Source organism: Homo sapiens, chromosome 16 (genome assembly GCF_000001405.40).
Source record: "Homo sapiens chromosome 16, GRCh38.p14 Primary Assembly".
NCBI classification, from domain to species: Eukaryota; Metazoa; Chordata; class Mammalia; order Primates; family Hominidae; genus Homo; species Homo sapiens.
The window spans coordinates 23,879,233-23,894,882 of record NC_000016.10 but is presented as its reverse complement, the minus strand read 5'-3'; the positions used below and the strand labels follow the sequence as shown (position 1 = coordinate 23,894,882).

Below are 15,650 nucleotides of genomic sequence, written 5' to 3'. Positions count from 1 at the left end.
CAAAAAAAAAGAGTAAATGGCAGACAAATTTCACTAATGAATATAGACTCAAAGGTCCTAAATGTAATAGAAATAAATGTAACCCAACAACATAATGTCAGAATGAATCAAATACTGGGGAAGATATTGATGATAAAGGTACCACATTGCTTCAGGTTTTTACAATGAACATACATTTTTCTTCTGCCTTAAAAAAATATTCTTTTCCCTCACAATTCTCTGGGTTGGCTAGACTCAGCCAGGTGGTTCTTCGGTTCTACATGGTGTCACCTGTGCACACATGCAGGCGCTTGCACCTGGAAGCTGGACATTCAAGACAGCTTCCCTCACAAAGCATGTACTCTTCAAAAGCAATAATATTATTTTCTGGGGGGAAATTAAACCAATGATTATATCCAGTGATCAAGTGAATTTGGAAATGCATGTACTCTAGGTGGTGTGTAAATTAGTTACAATTTCTCTGGAGAGCAATGTGACAATGAAAACCTTTAAATGGCCACACTTTTTGACCCAGAAACTCCCATTTTGGGGACTGTGATGAGTTGATTACAACAATGGTCCTGAGACTTTCATGCCTTTTGTAGCCATGCCTTTGGTAATGTCTTCTCAAACTGTCTCCGGGCTTGGCCATGTCACATGCTTTGGCCTATGGGACAGAAGCAAATGTGATGCAACCAAAACTTGAAAAAAAGTTTGTGCATCAGGGTTTGCCTCCTTGCTGCTCTTGCAACTCTAACTGCTATGGAAACAACCTGGCCTGCTGGAAGATGACATACCACCATCATCCCATGCAGTCCCCCAGCTGATTGCAAATGCATAAGTAACCAGAGCCTATGTCCACTGATTCCAGCCTAGTCCAGCAGAACTACCTGGCCCAAAATGCAGACCTGCAGAGGTAAGTAAATAGTCATTGTTTGACACCACTAAGTTGTGCGATGATTTGTTACACAGCAAAACCTAACTAATACATGAACTTATCCTTAGGAGTATTCAGAAATAGCTTTCCATAAAGATAAATATACAACTATATTATTTGTAACAATGGTTGAATCATGTTGAATAATAAGAGCTGTTTAGGTAAATTTTAGTACATCCGTTCAATAGAAATCTATGCAGTAATTAAAAATCCTTTTGTGGAAAAAGATTTGGTACAGTAAAATGTTTACACTAGAGCACAGTGGAAAAGAGGGTTATAAAACAATATTATGGTGTGAGAGTACTCTTGTGAAAAATAAAAGAAGTACACATATTTATATGCATGGGAAAATACTGGAATAACAAAAATGTTAACAACGCCGGATGGTTTTTTTCCTTTTTAAAAATGCTTTTCACATTTCCTGCCTTGATCGTAAGTCAGAACTTACAAACAGTCATTGAACTGTTCAGACAGCTGAACCTGGAATTCTCTGAGGCCACTGAAGGCTACTGCTAAGGAATCAGATAAGGGGTAATCAGGACATGAATGTTAGAAAATCCTCCTAGCATAATCTCTGTTAAACCAGCCTAAGCATGGTGCTTGGCAGCACAGCTGGGAAAAGAAAATGGAAAGAGCTGGAATGGGCTGCCATATTGCTGGCAGAAACCTTCATGCCATGGCCAATTTATTGGCTCCAAGTCCAGTAAGTTTTCTTGGCTTCTCCCTCTGCTCCCCAAGTTTCATTCTGCTCCTGCTGCCTCTCTGTCTCATGTTTCCTTCTTACTTCTCCCTTTATTTACTCTTCATTTGGATAGTCTCAGATTTTTTTGAGGAGAAGAGAAAGGATTCAGGTAGTGGACTGGAGAGGAGTTGTCCAAAGATCTCAGCAGGGTCTCCAGCACACTCCATCAGACCATCCCTGTATTTCAAGATTAAGCATGAGGGCCATTGTAAGTTCACCCTATAGACTGAGTGATCAAGGAATGCAGATTTCCATCCAATCCTGTTAAAAAAAAAAAAAAGATGCTGATTGATCCATCCCCAGGTTAATGAGCCAGTTCCAATCACATGGTATCGTGGAGACAGAACCTGAGATAGGTGATAGGCTGAGATCAGAAGGCAGATATTCTAGTTCTGAAGCTAACTTTATGTCAAACTTCAGAGTTCACTTTCCCTTCCTGAACCAAAGTTTCTTCCTCTGCAAAATGGGTCCAATATATCCCCTCAGATTGTGTTGAGCTCCCATCCAAACTAGTATTTTTCTCTTTCGTTCAGTGCTGTATACCGGTAGGCACTCAAAAATCTATATATTGAACGAAGTAATAAATAAGACCATCTGCCTACTCACTCATACATGGTTTTGTATGAAGACCAGATAAATGGGAATGCAAGTGCTTTGAATTAATAAACTATATTACAAAGACAATGTATATTTTAATGTTTTGTATTAATATGAAGTAGAAATAATTTTGTTGTCTTGGAAATAGCAGGCTCATCCCTTAAGATTAAAGCTCTGGGGTTTTGCAAAACAAGGTTTGAGAATCACTGAAGTAAGAATTAAAGCTCAGGACCTTAAAACGATTTAATCCACCAAATCAGCTGATACTGCATCCTGAAGCAATGGAGATTTTTTAACCACTCGTTGTCAGTCTTTAAAGTCTAGGGCATAAAGCACGAAGAGCAAAGGGGGTGCTATTTCATAACATTCTAATTGAGACGGATGGAGAAAAAAAATGTAAGTTTTCTCAACACATCTGTCTATCACCAATTAAAATGAGTGTGAAGGCCTTCACCAAAGATTTCTCTCAAGGGCTCCCAGTAACAGGTACATCTTTATCACTGAGACCAAGGGAATCGTGCCACTTATTAACAGGCATTTGTTTCAGCAAATGTCACCCAGAGATGTGGGATCCAGCCGTCTCCCAATTTGCACACACTTGAAAGCTGTTGGTGATACAGCTCTAGGAGGGTGTGGGCAGGGGGCCTATGGTTTTTCACACATTACACTAGAAGGGATTCTAACTGCACAAGAAGGTAGGGTGTGGGATGTCAGCCAAGCTAAACACTGACAAATTCCCTTCTGGTCCGAGCCTGCAAAATTTCTGTGCTGTCTTTTGTGAAAGCTCCTTTCCTGCGTCAATGTGATGGACAAACATGTCACATTATCTTTCACAAGTGGCTTCATTAAGACACTCATCAACCTCACCAGGCCTTTCAGAGCAACATGACCCCTTGAAAACTGAGCATTGGATGTAGAGCTGATATGATACCACAACTGGCCAGCTTCTCTAATTGAACACTCAAGCCTCACCCTTCTTTGTTGAACTGGGATTTGTAGAATAAATAATCATAATAGCTCCTGACAAACCCTTATGCTTCTTGCAGATAGGCCTAACATAGAAAATTGAGCAAAGTACTTTTGGAAGTGTCCAAGAGAGCCCCTGCCCCTCATTTATGTATTTTATTATTTTCAAAAATATTTGTTTACTCACTCTCAACAGGAAAAATTGAACACAGATGCATACATCTGTATACACACACATACATACACACACATCACTCATAATTTCCCTACTCAATAATAAGCACATTGTAAAAACATAAGAATATCATAGACTGGATGCAGTGTCTCATGCCTGTATTTCCAGCACTTTGGGAGGCTGAGACAGGAGGATTGCTTGAGCCCAGGAGTTCAAGAACAGCGCAGGCAGCATAGTGAGACCCCATCTCTACCAAAAATAATAATAAATACAAATTTTAAAATTAGCTGGGTATGGTGGCACATGCCTGTAGTCCTAGCTACTAGGGAGGCTGAGTTGGGAGGCTCACTTAAGCCCAGGAGGTCGAGGCTGCAGTGAGCCATGATCACTCCACTGCACTCCAGTCTAGCAAGACCCTGTCTCAAAAAAAATTATATATATATATACACACACATTATATATATACACACACACACACACACACGCATTATATATATACATAATGTTCCTTCAGTTTTTTCCCCTAGGCATACATACATATATAAAGATAAATGTCCCATTCATCTTCAGGGATGAAGTGAGAGGGAAGAATGGACATTTGATCAGAGTCTTACAGGTGAGCTTTTAAACAAGAATGCAATCTCCAGGAAGCAGCAATAAAGAACAAGAGGAAAGCAAACTCCTGACTCCAGAAAGGTTGTTGTTTCTGAATGGGATGATGTTCCCAGAAGAAAGGCAGGCTCTTTCCTCTTCAGGCAGGATGGGGAGGAAGTGTCCCATAGAGGCAAGTCCACAGGGTACAGTGGAAAGAGTCAATGAGGGTATCACAAAAGCAAGGAAGAAACCAGAAATGAAGCAGTTGATGGCACGGGCATTAGGATTGGAGCTAGCTAGCCTCTTGCCCATGACTGGGAGTCACAAAGATGAAAAGCCCGGTTGGAAGTGACCAGGCTCCTAAGTCTTCAGTGGGGCAAGGGTCATTTTGCTTCCAGAAATAGTTAAGGGTCCCAGGGAGCGTCTCTCCTTGTTTCATAGAAGTAACAGAAAAGATGCTAGGCTAACAAAGGCATCCTGTTCTGGGGAATCACAGTTACAGAAAGATTAAAGGCCCCTACAAGATTCAGAGGAAGAGGAGCAAGACTTGATCTGGCCAAAGACCATCTTACAGGGTTCCAAGCAGCTTCTTACAATTGACTAAGGGTATTAAGAGGTTTGCAGAGAGGCAGTGAGGTCTATCTCAGGGATATTTTTCTTGATTCAGGCAATAAAACTGGACAGTGAAAGGTCAGGGTGTTCCTTCTTAAATATTAGCTGCCTCAGTAAGGATTTTCAAGGAGCTGTGGAATGCAGTGTTCAATAGGACCTACTAAAAGTCAAGTAGATCCATTCATTAACTGATTTATTGTTTTAAAAATATGTGCTGAGTGTCTACTATGTGTAAAGTACCATTCTAACTATTGGAATTAGATAAGTGAATAAGTCCTTTTTCTCATGGAAAACATATTCTTATAATTAATAACAAATAAATTTTGGGAGGAAACTCCAAAAAATATAAGAAAATGCCAGCTAGTAATAGGTGCCAAAAAGAAAAGGGAAGGGAAATAAAATGAGACTGGAATTATTGTAAATAGATAGATGATAGATGAGAGAGACAGAGATAGAACTGGGTTATCCTGCAGTAATAACCCTCAAAATAGGTAAAAGTTTGTTTTTCTCACATACTACAGCCTCATGCCTGATCAGCTAAGGAAGAAGTTCTATGTCTCCAGGAGCAAGTTGATAGAGCAGCCATAACTCAAAGATTTTTTCTGGATAATCTAGAACCAGCAATTACATGTCCCAGCATAAAAGTGAACATACATCACTTTGGATCACAACTCACTGGTCAGAGCTACTCATACGGCCCCACCTACCCACAAGGGAGGCAAGCAGTGCAATCCTACCATTGGCCTGCAAGGCCAAAGACCAGAAATATTTATTGAAGACCTTTAATGACTATTATAGATGATAAACAGGTGAGTAGATGCCATAATGCTAATAGCTAACACTTAGATAGCACTGCTATGACCCAGGCACTACTGAAAGCACCTTACACATACTGACTCACATAACCTTTATAATGCCGTAAGGTAGGCTCTGTTATTAATTTCAACATCAATCTCATTTTATAGCTGAGGAGACTGAGACAAGGAGAGGTTTTAAAACTGAACCAAGATCACATGCTTGGTGAGTGGCAGAGCTGGGATTCAAACCTAAGCAGGATAACTCCAAACTCTATGCTCTTAATCATTACACTACATTGAATGTGGATGGACGGATGGATGGATGGATGGATGGATGGATGGATGGATGGATGGATGGATGGATGGACGAGTGAACAGCTGTGTAGATGACTGAGTGGGTGGGTTAGTGAGTAGATGGGTGGGTAAGTGGGTGGATGAATGATCAGTCATGTCGAATTTATTGGGAAAATAAATACATTTCATTCACACTCTGCTAGCAAAAGGAGACTCACACGCTTGCAGGTCTCATACTCCCCCCATCTTAGCCATCCAGCTATGTCACCACTTACATTCTCAACAGCCCCAGCTGTGGAAAAGCTGTGATAGGGTCTGAAGCACAAGGCCAGGGACCTATATAAGACATAATGTGTGCTTGCTAGTGAGACCCTTCCAGCCCTCTTGCAACTTCAAGCCTGTTACCCAGTCCCTGCACAGTAGCCCCATCCTGGCAGATGAGGAAGGGATAACTCCTTACAGAAAAAGATTATCAAGCCCTGGCCAACCCAGGGAAGGTCCAGACAGGTTGTGGTCGAGAAACATGACGAGGGTGGCAGAGGGAGGGAGGATAAACTAGCGGTTATGGCCAAACCAGTGGTGCCTGAGTCAGACACAATGGGTTTTGAGGATTTCTCCCTCCCTGGCACCAGCACACACTTAAAAAAGAAATGGTTACCAAGCACCCTTTTGCTTGCCAACAGCATTCAGCTTCCTGGGTGAAGAGATCACAGAAAGGCAGCAAGGAAGATGGCCCTAAATGTTCTCCTCCAGCAGTCTGCTCCTGTGGCCTGGCCCTGCTACAGCCCATGAGGACCCACCATCTCCTAGAGGAGGGCCAGCCTGCCAACTCATGGAGCCAATAGGCCCACTCAGAGAGCTTTCACGGAGCTTCCTTTAGCTGAGCCAAGCTGTGCCTTCCGCTGTTTGGTCCAAGTGTCTCAACTCAACAACCTCAAAAGTCACTTGGTATCAGCATCTGTCCTAAGAGGCAGCCTGAAACTAGAGAGAGCATTGATTTATTGGTGAGAACACAGCAGCCCACCAGGGAGAAAGGGATTGCCTGAAGTCCTCCTCTAGGTAGTCCTTGCAAGAACCAAGCTGGGAAAACAAAGAAGGGGACTTGATGCGCTAAAGGAGGAGGGAGAAATGAGAGTTCAGCAAGTCAGATTCTTGCAATTAACTGTCAGATGCAGGTGTGCTCAAGAAAAAACTAGACCTGGGAAGATCATGGGGACCCTGCTGGAGAGAAAAAGGCCAGGACCATACAGCTGCCAGCCTTTGGGCCCAGCACCCCCAGCTGGAGAATCCTTCAAGCATTCTGCCTGCTGGCCACTCAGATAGCTTATGCAGTGCCTTGGTGAGATTACGGAGAAAAAAGGACGCTCTTACACTGTTGGTGAAATTGTAAATTAGTTCAGCCCCTCTGGGAAGCAGTTTAGAGACTTCTCAAAGAACTAAAAATAGAATTGCCATTCAATCCAGCATTCCCATTACTGGGTATATACCCAAAGGAAAACACATCATTCCACCAAAAAGACACCTTCACTCTCATGTTTATTGCATCACTGTCCATAACAGCAAAAACATGGAATCCACCTAGGTGCCCATCAACAATGGATTGGATAAAGAAAATGTGGTGCATATACACTATGGAATACTACACAGCCATAAAAAAAATGAAATCATGTCCTTTGCAGCAACATGGATGCAGCTGAAGGCCATTATCCTAAGTGAATTATCACAGAAAAACAGAAAACCAAATACCACATGTTCTCACCTATAGTGGAAGCTAAACAAGGGGTATACACAGACACAAATATGGAAACAACAGACACTGGGAACTCGGAAAGGAGGGAGAGAAGGGGGTAACGGTTTAAAAACTACCTACTGGGTACTATGCTCACTATTTGGGTAACAAGTTCATTGCCTAAACCTCAGCATCACGCAATATACCCATGTGACAAACTTGCACACATACTCCATGAATCTAAAATAAAAAACAAAATATGTTTCAAAGAATGGGGCATTTTATTTCTATCCTACAAGCATATCTGTCTACAATATTTGCTTTCAGTGACAGAAAGCAAGAAAGCAAGAAAGAAAGCAAGAAAGCAAGAAGGAAAGAAAGAGAGAGAAAGAAAGAAGGAAAGAAAGAAAAGAAAACTCATGCAATGCCCTGGGATTTACAGATTCGTTCCAGAGGCAGCTTTGGAAAAGAAATGGAGTGGAAAGACGCCCATGGCCCCAGTGACCCCCCAAGAAAAGAGAACTTCCTTTCCTTAAGTCCAAGCTGACAGGTAGAGAACTAAGTCAGGCTGAAATTAGGAAAGTGGGAAGGAGGGACATGCACCAAGGAAAGAGAGGGTCTGTGGCTGCTACAGGCAGAGATGAAGGGGACAGATAGAGCATGAGGCATAAAAGGAGATAAATGAAAATGATGATAGGCCCATACTGAGCCCCTGCTGAAGCCAAGAAATCTGTTCAACTCATAACACGGCTGGGCACGGTGGCTCACGCCTGTAATCCCAGCACTTCGGGAGGCCAAGGCAGGCCGATCACTTGAGGTCAGGAGTTCGAGACCAGCCTGGCCAACATAGTGAAACCTCGTCTCTACTAAAAATACAAAAATTAGTCAGGCGTGGTGGTGCGTGCCTGTAATCCCAGCTACTCAGGAGGCTGAGGCAGAAGAATCGGTTGAACCCAGGAGGCGGAGGTTGCAGTGAGCCAAGATCATGCCATTGCACTCCAGCCTGGGCGACAGAGTGAGACTTCATCAAAAAAAAAAAAAAAAAAAAAAAAAACACCTAACACACCATAGTCCAACCCTCGCAGTGACTCTAAGAGGTAAAGATGACGTTGAATGTTTTGCCCAAAGTCCCACAGACAGGGATTTGAGAAGAACTGAGTCTCCTAGAGTAAAAGAATCAAGGAGAACCAGGCAAGAGAAGCCTCTCTCAAGAAAAGCCTTGATCCATCTGCAAGTCAAAGGAAACTTTCTTAGCACAGCCAGACTAATGCCAACCAACAGCAAAGATGATGGTTAAGGATACTTCTTGCTGTGATGCTTAGATTTGGATCTCAGCTCTGTGACCTTCAGCAAATCTACTGACCTCTTAGGACCTCAGTTTCTACAGCTGTAATACAACACACTTGTCTCAAAGAGTTGGTTTGAGGATTCAAAGAGAAAATAAATGTAATTTATTAGCACATTTCCAGCACATGGCAATCAATCAATGAAAGTTTGTTGTTGTTAATGTTGTTAGTATCACAATCCTCAAACCTCCTGCCGCCCAATATCGAGTCAAAAAGAAATACACTAAGGCCAAGGCCACCTTACTACAAGATCAACCTGGTGATGGCTCACAGGATTTTTAAGAGATCTAGAAAGACATCCAAAAAATATTTCCCCGCCAGCTTCCTCGTGTCTGAAATATATATTTTCCAGCACACAGTGGCTTTCATTTCCCATTTAAAAATAAATCCAGTGCAAATACAGATTCACACTAGGGGAAGGAGCTGGGTAGCTTGGAAATCAGAGTTGAGAGTGAATCAGAAGAGAATGCCAGAAAAGGGGGCAAAGAGGGGAAACCAGCTGTGGATAGGCCAGGCACAGTGGCTCATGCCTGTAATCCCAGCACTTTGGGAGGCCAAGGCAGGTAGATCACTAGGTCAGGAGTTTGAGACCAGCCTGGCCAAGATGGTGAAACCCCATCTCTACTAAAAATACAAAAATTAGCTGGGCGTGGTGGCGGGCGCCTATAACCTCAGCTACTCGGGAGGCTGAGGCAGGAGAATGGCTTGAACTAGGGAGGCGGAGACTGCAGTGAGCCGAGATCATGCCACTGCACTCCAGCCTGGGTGACAGAGCAAGACTCCGTCTCAAAAAAGAAAAGAAAAAGAAAAAAAGAGCTGTGGATAGTGGTAAAAAGCCACAGGATCTCCCATCTGCTTAAGAAACAGAATTGATTCAGTTAGTTAAAAAGCTTAATGATTAGTGAATTTCACTCCTAAAGAAATAATAAGAGTAAAGGGTAGCAGGAGAAGGTTAAATCATAGAGTTAGTGTCTGGCATATAGCAGGCTCTAATAAACAACATGTATCATTATTACTTATTATTATCGTTATTGTTAATTCCTTATAATCTTCACAATAACTACTTAAAAGTAGGCATTACTATTATCTTGAGTTTGCTGGCAAGGAAACTAAAATCCAGAGAAATTAAATAACTTGCCCAAGATCATCCATCTTGAGAACCTGGGAGTGCCCTGCACCTATTATATCCATTCAATCATCCATATTTGCTGAACAACTAAATGATCGCATGAACCAAAGGGCTACTAGAATGCCACAAAAGAAAAGGAGATATGGGCTAGGCATTGTGGCTCACACCTGTCATCCTAGCACTTTGGGAGGCTGAGGTGGGAGGACTGCTTGAGTCCAGGAGTTTGAGACCAGTCTGGGCAACACAGTGAGACCTTGCAGCTACAAAAAATAAAAATAAAAAAATTAGCCAGGCATGGTGGTGTGTTCCTGTAGTCCCAGCTACTTAGGAGGCTGAGGTGGGAGGATTGTTTTAGGCCAAGAGATTGAAGCTGCAGTGAGCTACGGTCACACCACTGCATTCCAGTCTAGGCGACAGAGTGAAACCCTGACTCAAAAAGAAAAAGAAAAGGAGATGGTTCAGTTCCCAGGGTGCCCTGGATGTGGTGTTCAAACAGGAAGCCCATAAGGGAAGGCAAAGAGAATGTTCACAATTTTTAATGAAGTGATATTTGCAAAGAGAGGCAGAAAACGAGAGCTAAGGGAAGGTAACTTGGGGTTGATCTGCTTTGGAAAGGAAAATATAAATATATGACAAATGTTAGTTCCTATGTCCCCATGTATATGATGTGGGGAAATCTCCAGGACTTTTGCTTACATTGAAAATGTCTTCATCATTGGGGGTGGATGCAGTGCTTTGAGCACAACACGGGTGCCAGAGTCAAATTAGGGTTCAAGTCCTAATTCTATAAGCTTGCATAAGAACTTATACTCTCTGAGACTCTCTTTCCTCATCTATAACTGTGCTACCAATATGGTAACCACTAGCCATATGTGGCTACTGAGTACTTGAAGTGTGGTTGAATTGAGATGTGCTGTACGTGTAAAATACATATCAAATGTTGAAGACTTGCTATGCGGGGAAGTAAAATATCTCATTAATAATTTTATATTGATTACATGTTGATATGGGAATATTTGGAATATGCTGAGTTAAAGAAAACATTCTCACAGTTCATTTCACCTGTTTCCTTTGACCATTTTAATGTGATTGCTAAGAACATTTTAAATTACATACACAGCTCAGGTTTATGGCTCATGTTATATTTCTACTGGACAACACAGATCTACAAAATGTGGTTATGGGATTGCTACGAAGTTCAAAGACGTCATATGTAAAGTGTACCAGGTGCCCAGCTGTGCATTTGCTTCCCTCTTCCAATTCATATCCCATTTACCAGTAAGTCCTTTTACCTCCCAAATCTGCCTGTGTCTCTCCCTCTGCACTGCTGCCCGTGCAGACAAAGACACCATCTCTCACCTAGAAATCTGCAATTGACTCCTGACTCATCCTCCCACTTCTGCTCCAGTCCCCAACAATCCATTCTCTACTTGGCAGCCAATGGAAGGTGTGTTAAATACAAATCTGATCCTTTGCATCTCGCCTACCTAAAACTCTCCAGTGGCTTCCCACTGCACTTAGCACAGAGGCTCATCCTGTGGGGCCCCTTATGATCTGGCCCCACACCCACCACGCCCCAGCAACAAGGATCACGCCTAGCCACTTTCCTCCTCAAGACCTTTCCATTGCTCATCCCAGGGCCCAGAATGGTATTTTCCCAAATTCTGTGTGGCTAGCTCCTCCCCACCTTGTAGTTCTCAGGTCACCTGTCACCCAGTTAGGAAGGCCTTTCTGATCTAAAGTAGCCACTCACCACATCACTCTGTTGTCAAATCCTGATTCAGTATCATGACATTTATCGCCAGTGGATCTCATCCTGTTTTTTTCAATTTGCTTACCTGTGTATTGTCTGGCTTCTTGCTGAATATCAGCTCCATGGAGGGTGGGGACCTATGTAAGCCACGCTATGCCCCCAGCCTTGTTCAGTGACTGGAACAAAGCTGGTCCTCAATAAATGCCAGTTTAATGAATAGATGTTTCCACTGGAGCTGTGGTGCAGTTAGAAGCCAAATCCCCAGAAAAATCTTCCCGAGACAGTTTCTACCATCAGCAATTCCACTTCAGGATCTATATCCAAAAGAATTGGAAGTGGAGTCTCAGCCAGGTGCAGTAGTTCACACCTGTAATCTCAGCACTTTGGGAGGCTGAGGTAGGAGGATTGCTTGGGCCAAGGAGTTTGAGACAAGCCTGGCCAACATAGGGAGACCCCATCTCTACAAAAAAAAAAAAAAAAAAGATATTTGTATACCCATGTTCACAACAGCATTATTCACAATAGCCAAGAGGTGAAAGCAACTCAAATGTCCATTGACCGATTAATATATAAGCAAAATGTTGCCTATTCATACAATGGAATATTAATCAACCTTAAAGAGGAAGAAAATTCTGACATATGCTACAACATGAATGAACTCTGAGGGCATTACACTAAGTGAAATAAACCAGTCATCCCAGGAGCAATGGCTCACGCCTTCACTTTGGGAGGCTCATCCCTTCACCTTGAGAGGCTGAGGTGGGAGGATCACTTGAGGCCAGGAGTTTGAGACCAGCCTGGGCAACATAGCAAGAACCTTGTCTCTATTAAAAATCAAGAAAAAAAATTAACTGGGCATGGTAGTGTGCACCTGTAATCCCAGCTACTCAGGAGGCTGAGATGGGAGGATCTCTTGAGGCCAGGAGTTTGAGACAACCCTGGGCAACATAGCAAGACCTTGTCTCTATTAAAAATCAAGAAAAAAATTAACCGGGCATGGTAGTGTGTGCCTGAAGTCCCAGTTACTCAGGAGGCTGAGATGGGAGGATCCCTTGAGCACAGGAGGTCAAGGCTGCCATGAGCTGTGATTGCCCCACTGCACTCCAGCCTGGCCTGCGAGAAACAGGGAGACCCTGTCAAAAAAAAAAAAAAAGGAAAGAAAGAAAGGAAAGGAAGAAGGAAGGAAGGAAGGAAGGAAGGAAGGAAGGAAGAAAGAAAGAAAGAAAGAAAGAAAGAAAGAAAGAAAGAAAGAAAGAAAGAAAGAAAGGAAAAGAAAAAAAGGAAGAAACCAGCCATGAAAAGACAAATACTGCAAGAGTCCACTTACATGAGGCATCTAAAATAGCCAAACTCATAGAAACAGGAAGCAGAATGGTGGTTACCAGAGGCTCGGTGGGGAGGAAGAAATGGGAAGTTATTGCCAGTGGGTATAGAGTTTCAGTTTTACGAGATGAAAAGTCCTAACTGTTGCACAACAATGTAAATGTACTTAAAATGATACTGTACACTTAAAAAAATAGTTAAGATGGTAAATTTTATGTTATGTGTTTTTTACCATGATTTTAAAATTTTGTAATTATTTTTTAAAAATCAAGTTTTCACTTATCCCAAGGAATAGAATGGAAAACTGTGGCTAAATAGTCTAAAAGGAATAAAATATTTTTTTAAAAAACGGGAATGGGCCAGGGTGCAGTGGCTCACGCCTGTAATCCCAGCACTTTGGGAGGCCAAGGTGAGTGGATCACTTGAGGCTAGGAGTTCAAGACCAGCCTGGGCAACATGATGAAACCCCGTCTCTCCTAAAAATACAAAATTAGCTGGGTGTGGTGGTGAGTGCCTGTAATCCCAACTACTTGGGAGGCTGAGGCGGGAGAATTGCTTGAACCTGGGAGGCAAATGTAGCAGTGAACCAAGACCGCGCCACCGCACTTCAGCCTGGGCAACAGAGCGAGACTCTGTCTCAAAAAAAAAAAAAAAAACTGGGAAAAGAGAGAAAAGGAGTCAACACAGGGCCCTGTCAATGCTCTGCCCATTCTTTGTCTTTCATCTTGGGAAGATGGACACAGAGACTCATGGGCCTGGGCCCCCAGGAGCATCACAGAGTGAAGAGGAGAGGCAAACATTCCCTTTAACCTCACTGCTGAAAACTTCTAGAAGTCTGCTCTCAGGACATAATTAGGAATGCCAGCAAAAGGTGTTTCATCAGAGCACTGCTTGTAACAGTGAGAAATGGAAAATACCCCCATGACCATCCGGAGGGCACCTGTTAAAGATCGTCAAGCCAAGCAGTGGAGACTACAGAACCATACAAAAAAAAAGATCGTAAAATGTGAATTGAAAAGCAGATAGTCTCTTATGTCATCTTGACCCCATTTGTGTGTGTTTGAGGAGACAGAGACAGAGAGACATGGGTAGATAGCAAGGTATTAACATTTCTGCTTGATAAGATTATTTTCTTTCTCTGCATCTTGTTGTAATGTTCTATAATGAAGATGTATTGCTTCTGAAATAAGAAAAAAAAATGTTTTAGCGAAGAAAATATGGCAGGAAAAAATATTCAGAAGGAAACCCTAGGGGATCCCAGAGAAAATTCTAGTACCCTACTTCATTTTCTAAGAGTAAAATTATAGCACAGAAAGAACCCCCAGTAACAAATAGAAAATACAAAGCTTGAGTTATATAATTCAGAAAGGCCTGCAGAGGCTGTCAGACACCCACAGAGACCCAAACAGACCTTTTGGAGCTCAAACCAGGGCAGAGAAAATACACAAAAACTAATAGAACCCATCCCGGGATTAAAAATTAAACGTGCAGAATCACAGAGACAAAGGCATATGTGAGAAGGAGGGGGAGAAGGAGGCAGGAAGCAATGTTCACTCCTCTTTCAGGTGCTAGTGTGGGCCTTGTGTGTGTGGTGGGGGGATTCTCAAAGCTCATTTTCCCCACTGTTCTAGGGAGCCCCTATAATTAAGCTAATACTAGGAGGAAAGAGCCCTTCTATTTAGCTGTCATCTGTGTGAGCACAAGAGGTGAGTCAGGCATCTCCTGCAGCAGAATGGAAAAGACCCAGGAGCCTGCCAGCTGACCTAGCTTCTACCATGCTGCCTGGCTTAGGGGTGGGGATTCGATTCCCCCAGAGTACTACTGAGTCTAAGGACAAATAATATTAATACACTTTCAGAGCATGTCTTGTGTACCAGGAACTTTCCTAAACACTATAAACATACTCACTCGATTTTCACAACAATCCTATGAGATCGGTGTTTTTATTAATCCCATTTTGCAGACAAGAAAACTGAGGCACAGAGAGGTTAAGACTTGCCCAAGGTCACAGAGTTTAAAAAACAGCAGAGCTAGGATTCGAACTCAGGAAGCTATGGCCCAAGAGCCTATGCTCTGAACTACTATGCTGCTGTCTTAGAAAGCTAAAGGACCAGGGCACCGGGCTCAGTGGCTCACGCCTATAATCCCAACACTTTGAAAGGTCGAGGCGGGCGGATCACTTGAGGTCAGGAGCTCGAGACCAGCCTAGCCAACATGGTGAAACCCCGTCTCTACTAAAAATACAAAACTTAGCCAGGCATGGTGGTGCATGCCTGTAATCCCAGCTACTCGGGAGGCCTAGGCTGGAGAATCACTTGAACTGGGGAGGCGGAGGTTGCAGTGAGCTGAGATCATGCTTCTGCACTCCTGGCAACAGTGGGGCTCCGTCTCAAAAAAAAAAAAAAAAAAAAAAAAAAAAAAAAAAAAGGATAGCTAAAGGACCAACAACAAAGGTTTATTCCCAGATTACTATGACATCTGTTTGCAGGAGATTCATGTCAAGGAGAAGGTGCCTGGAAAACCTCAAGGTTGAGTATTGCTGAACTTCATCCTAGGCTATGAAAACAGCCCAGACTTACTAAAGAAAACCACTTTCCCACTCCCATATCTCCTACTGCTTCAGTGCCCAGCTCTCAGCATTCTCTACTTCCTGTGTGCCCACAAAACATGAAAACCA

The 15,650-nt window shown here is 42.8% G+C and overlaps 1 protein-coding gene across 3 annotated transcripts in view, besides 1 other annotated feature; it reads right to left on the bottom strand.

The window, feature by feature from the left end:
- Window positions 1-15,650, bottom strand: part of PRKCB (protein kinase C beta) — a 384,629-nt gene that overhangs the window by 325,729 nt on the left and 43,250 nt on the right. The gene's annotated exons all lie outside the window — the stretch shown is intronic.
- Window positions 12,962-13,091: an enhancer, noted in NCBI's record as "active region_10592". NCBI's record gives its function as "activates an Ori minimal core promoter by ATAC-STARR-seq in GM12878 lymphoblastoid cells {active_cell/tissue: GM12878}" and the evidence as "EXISTENCE:reporter gene assay evidence [ECO:0000049][PMID:35858748]".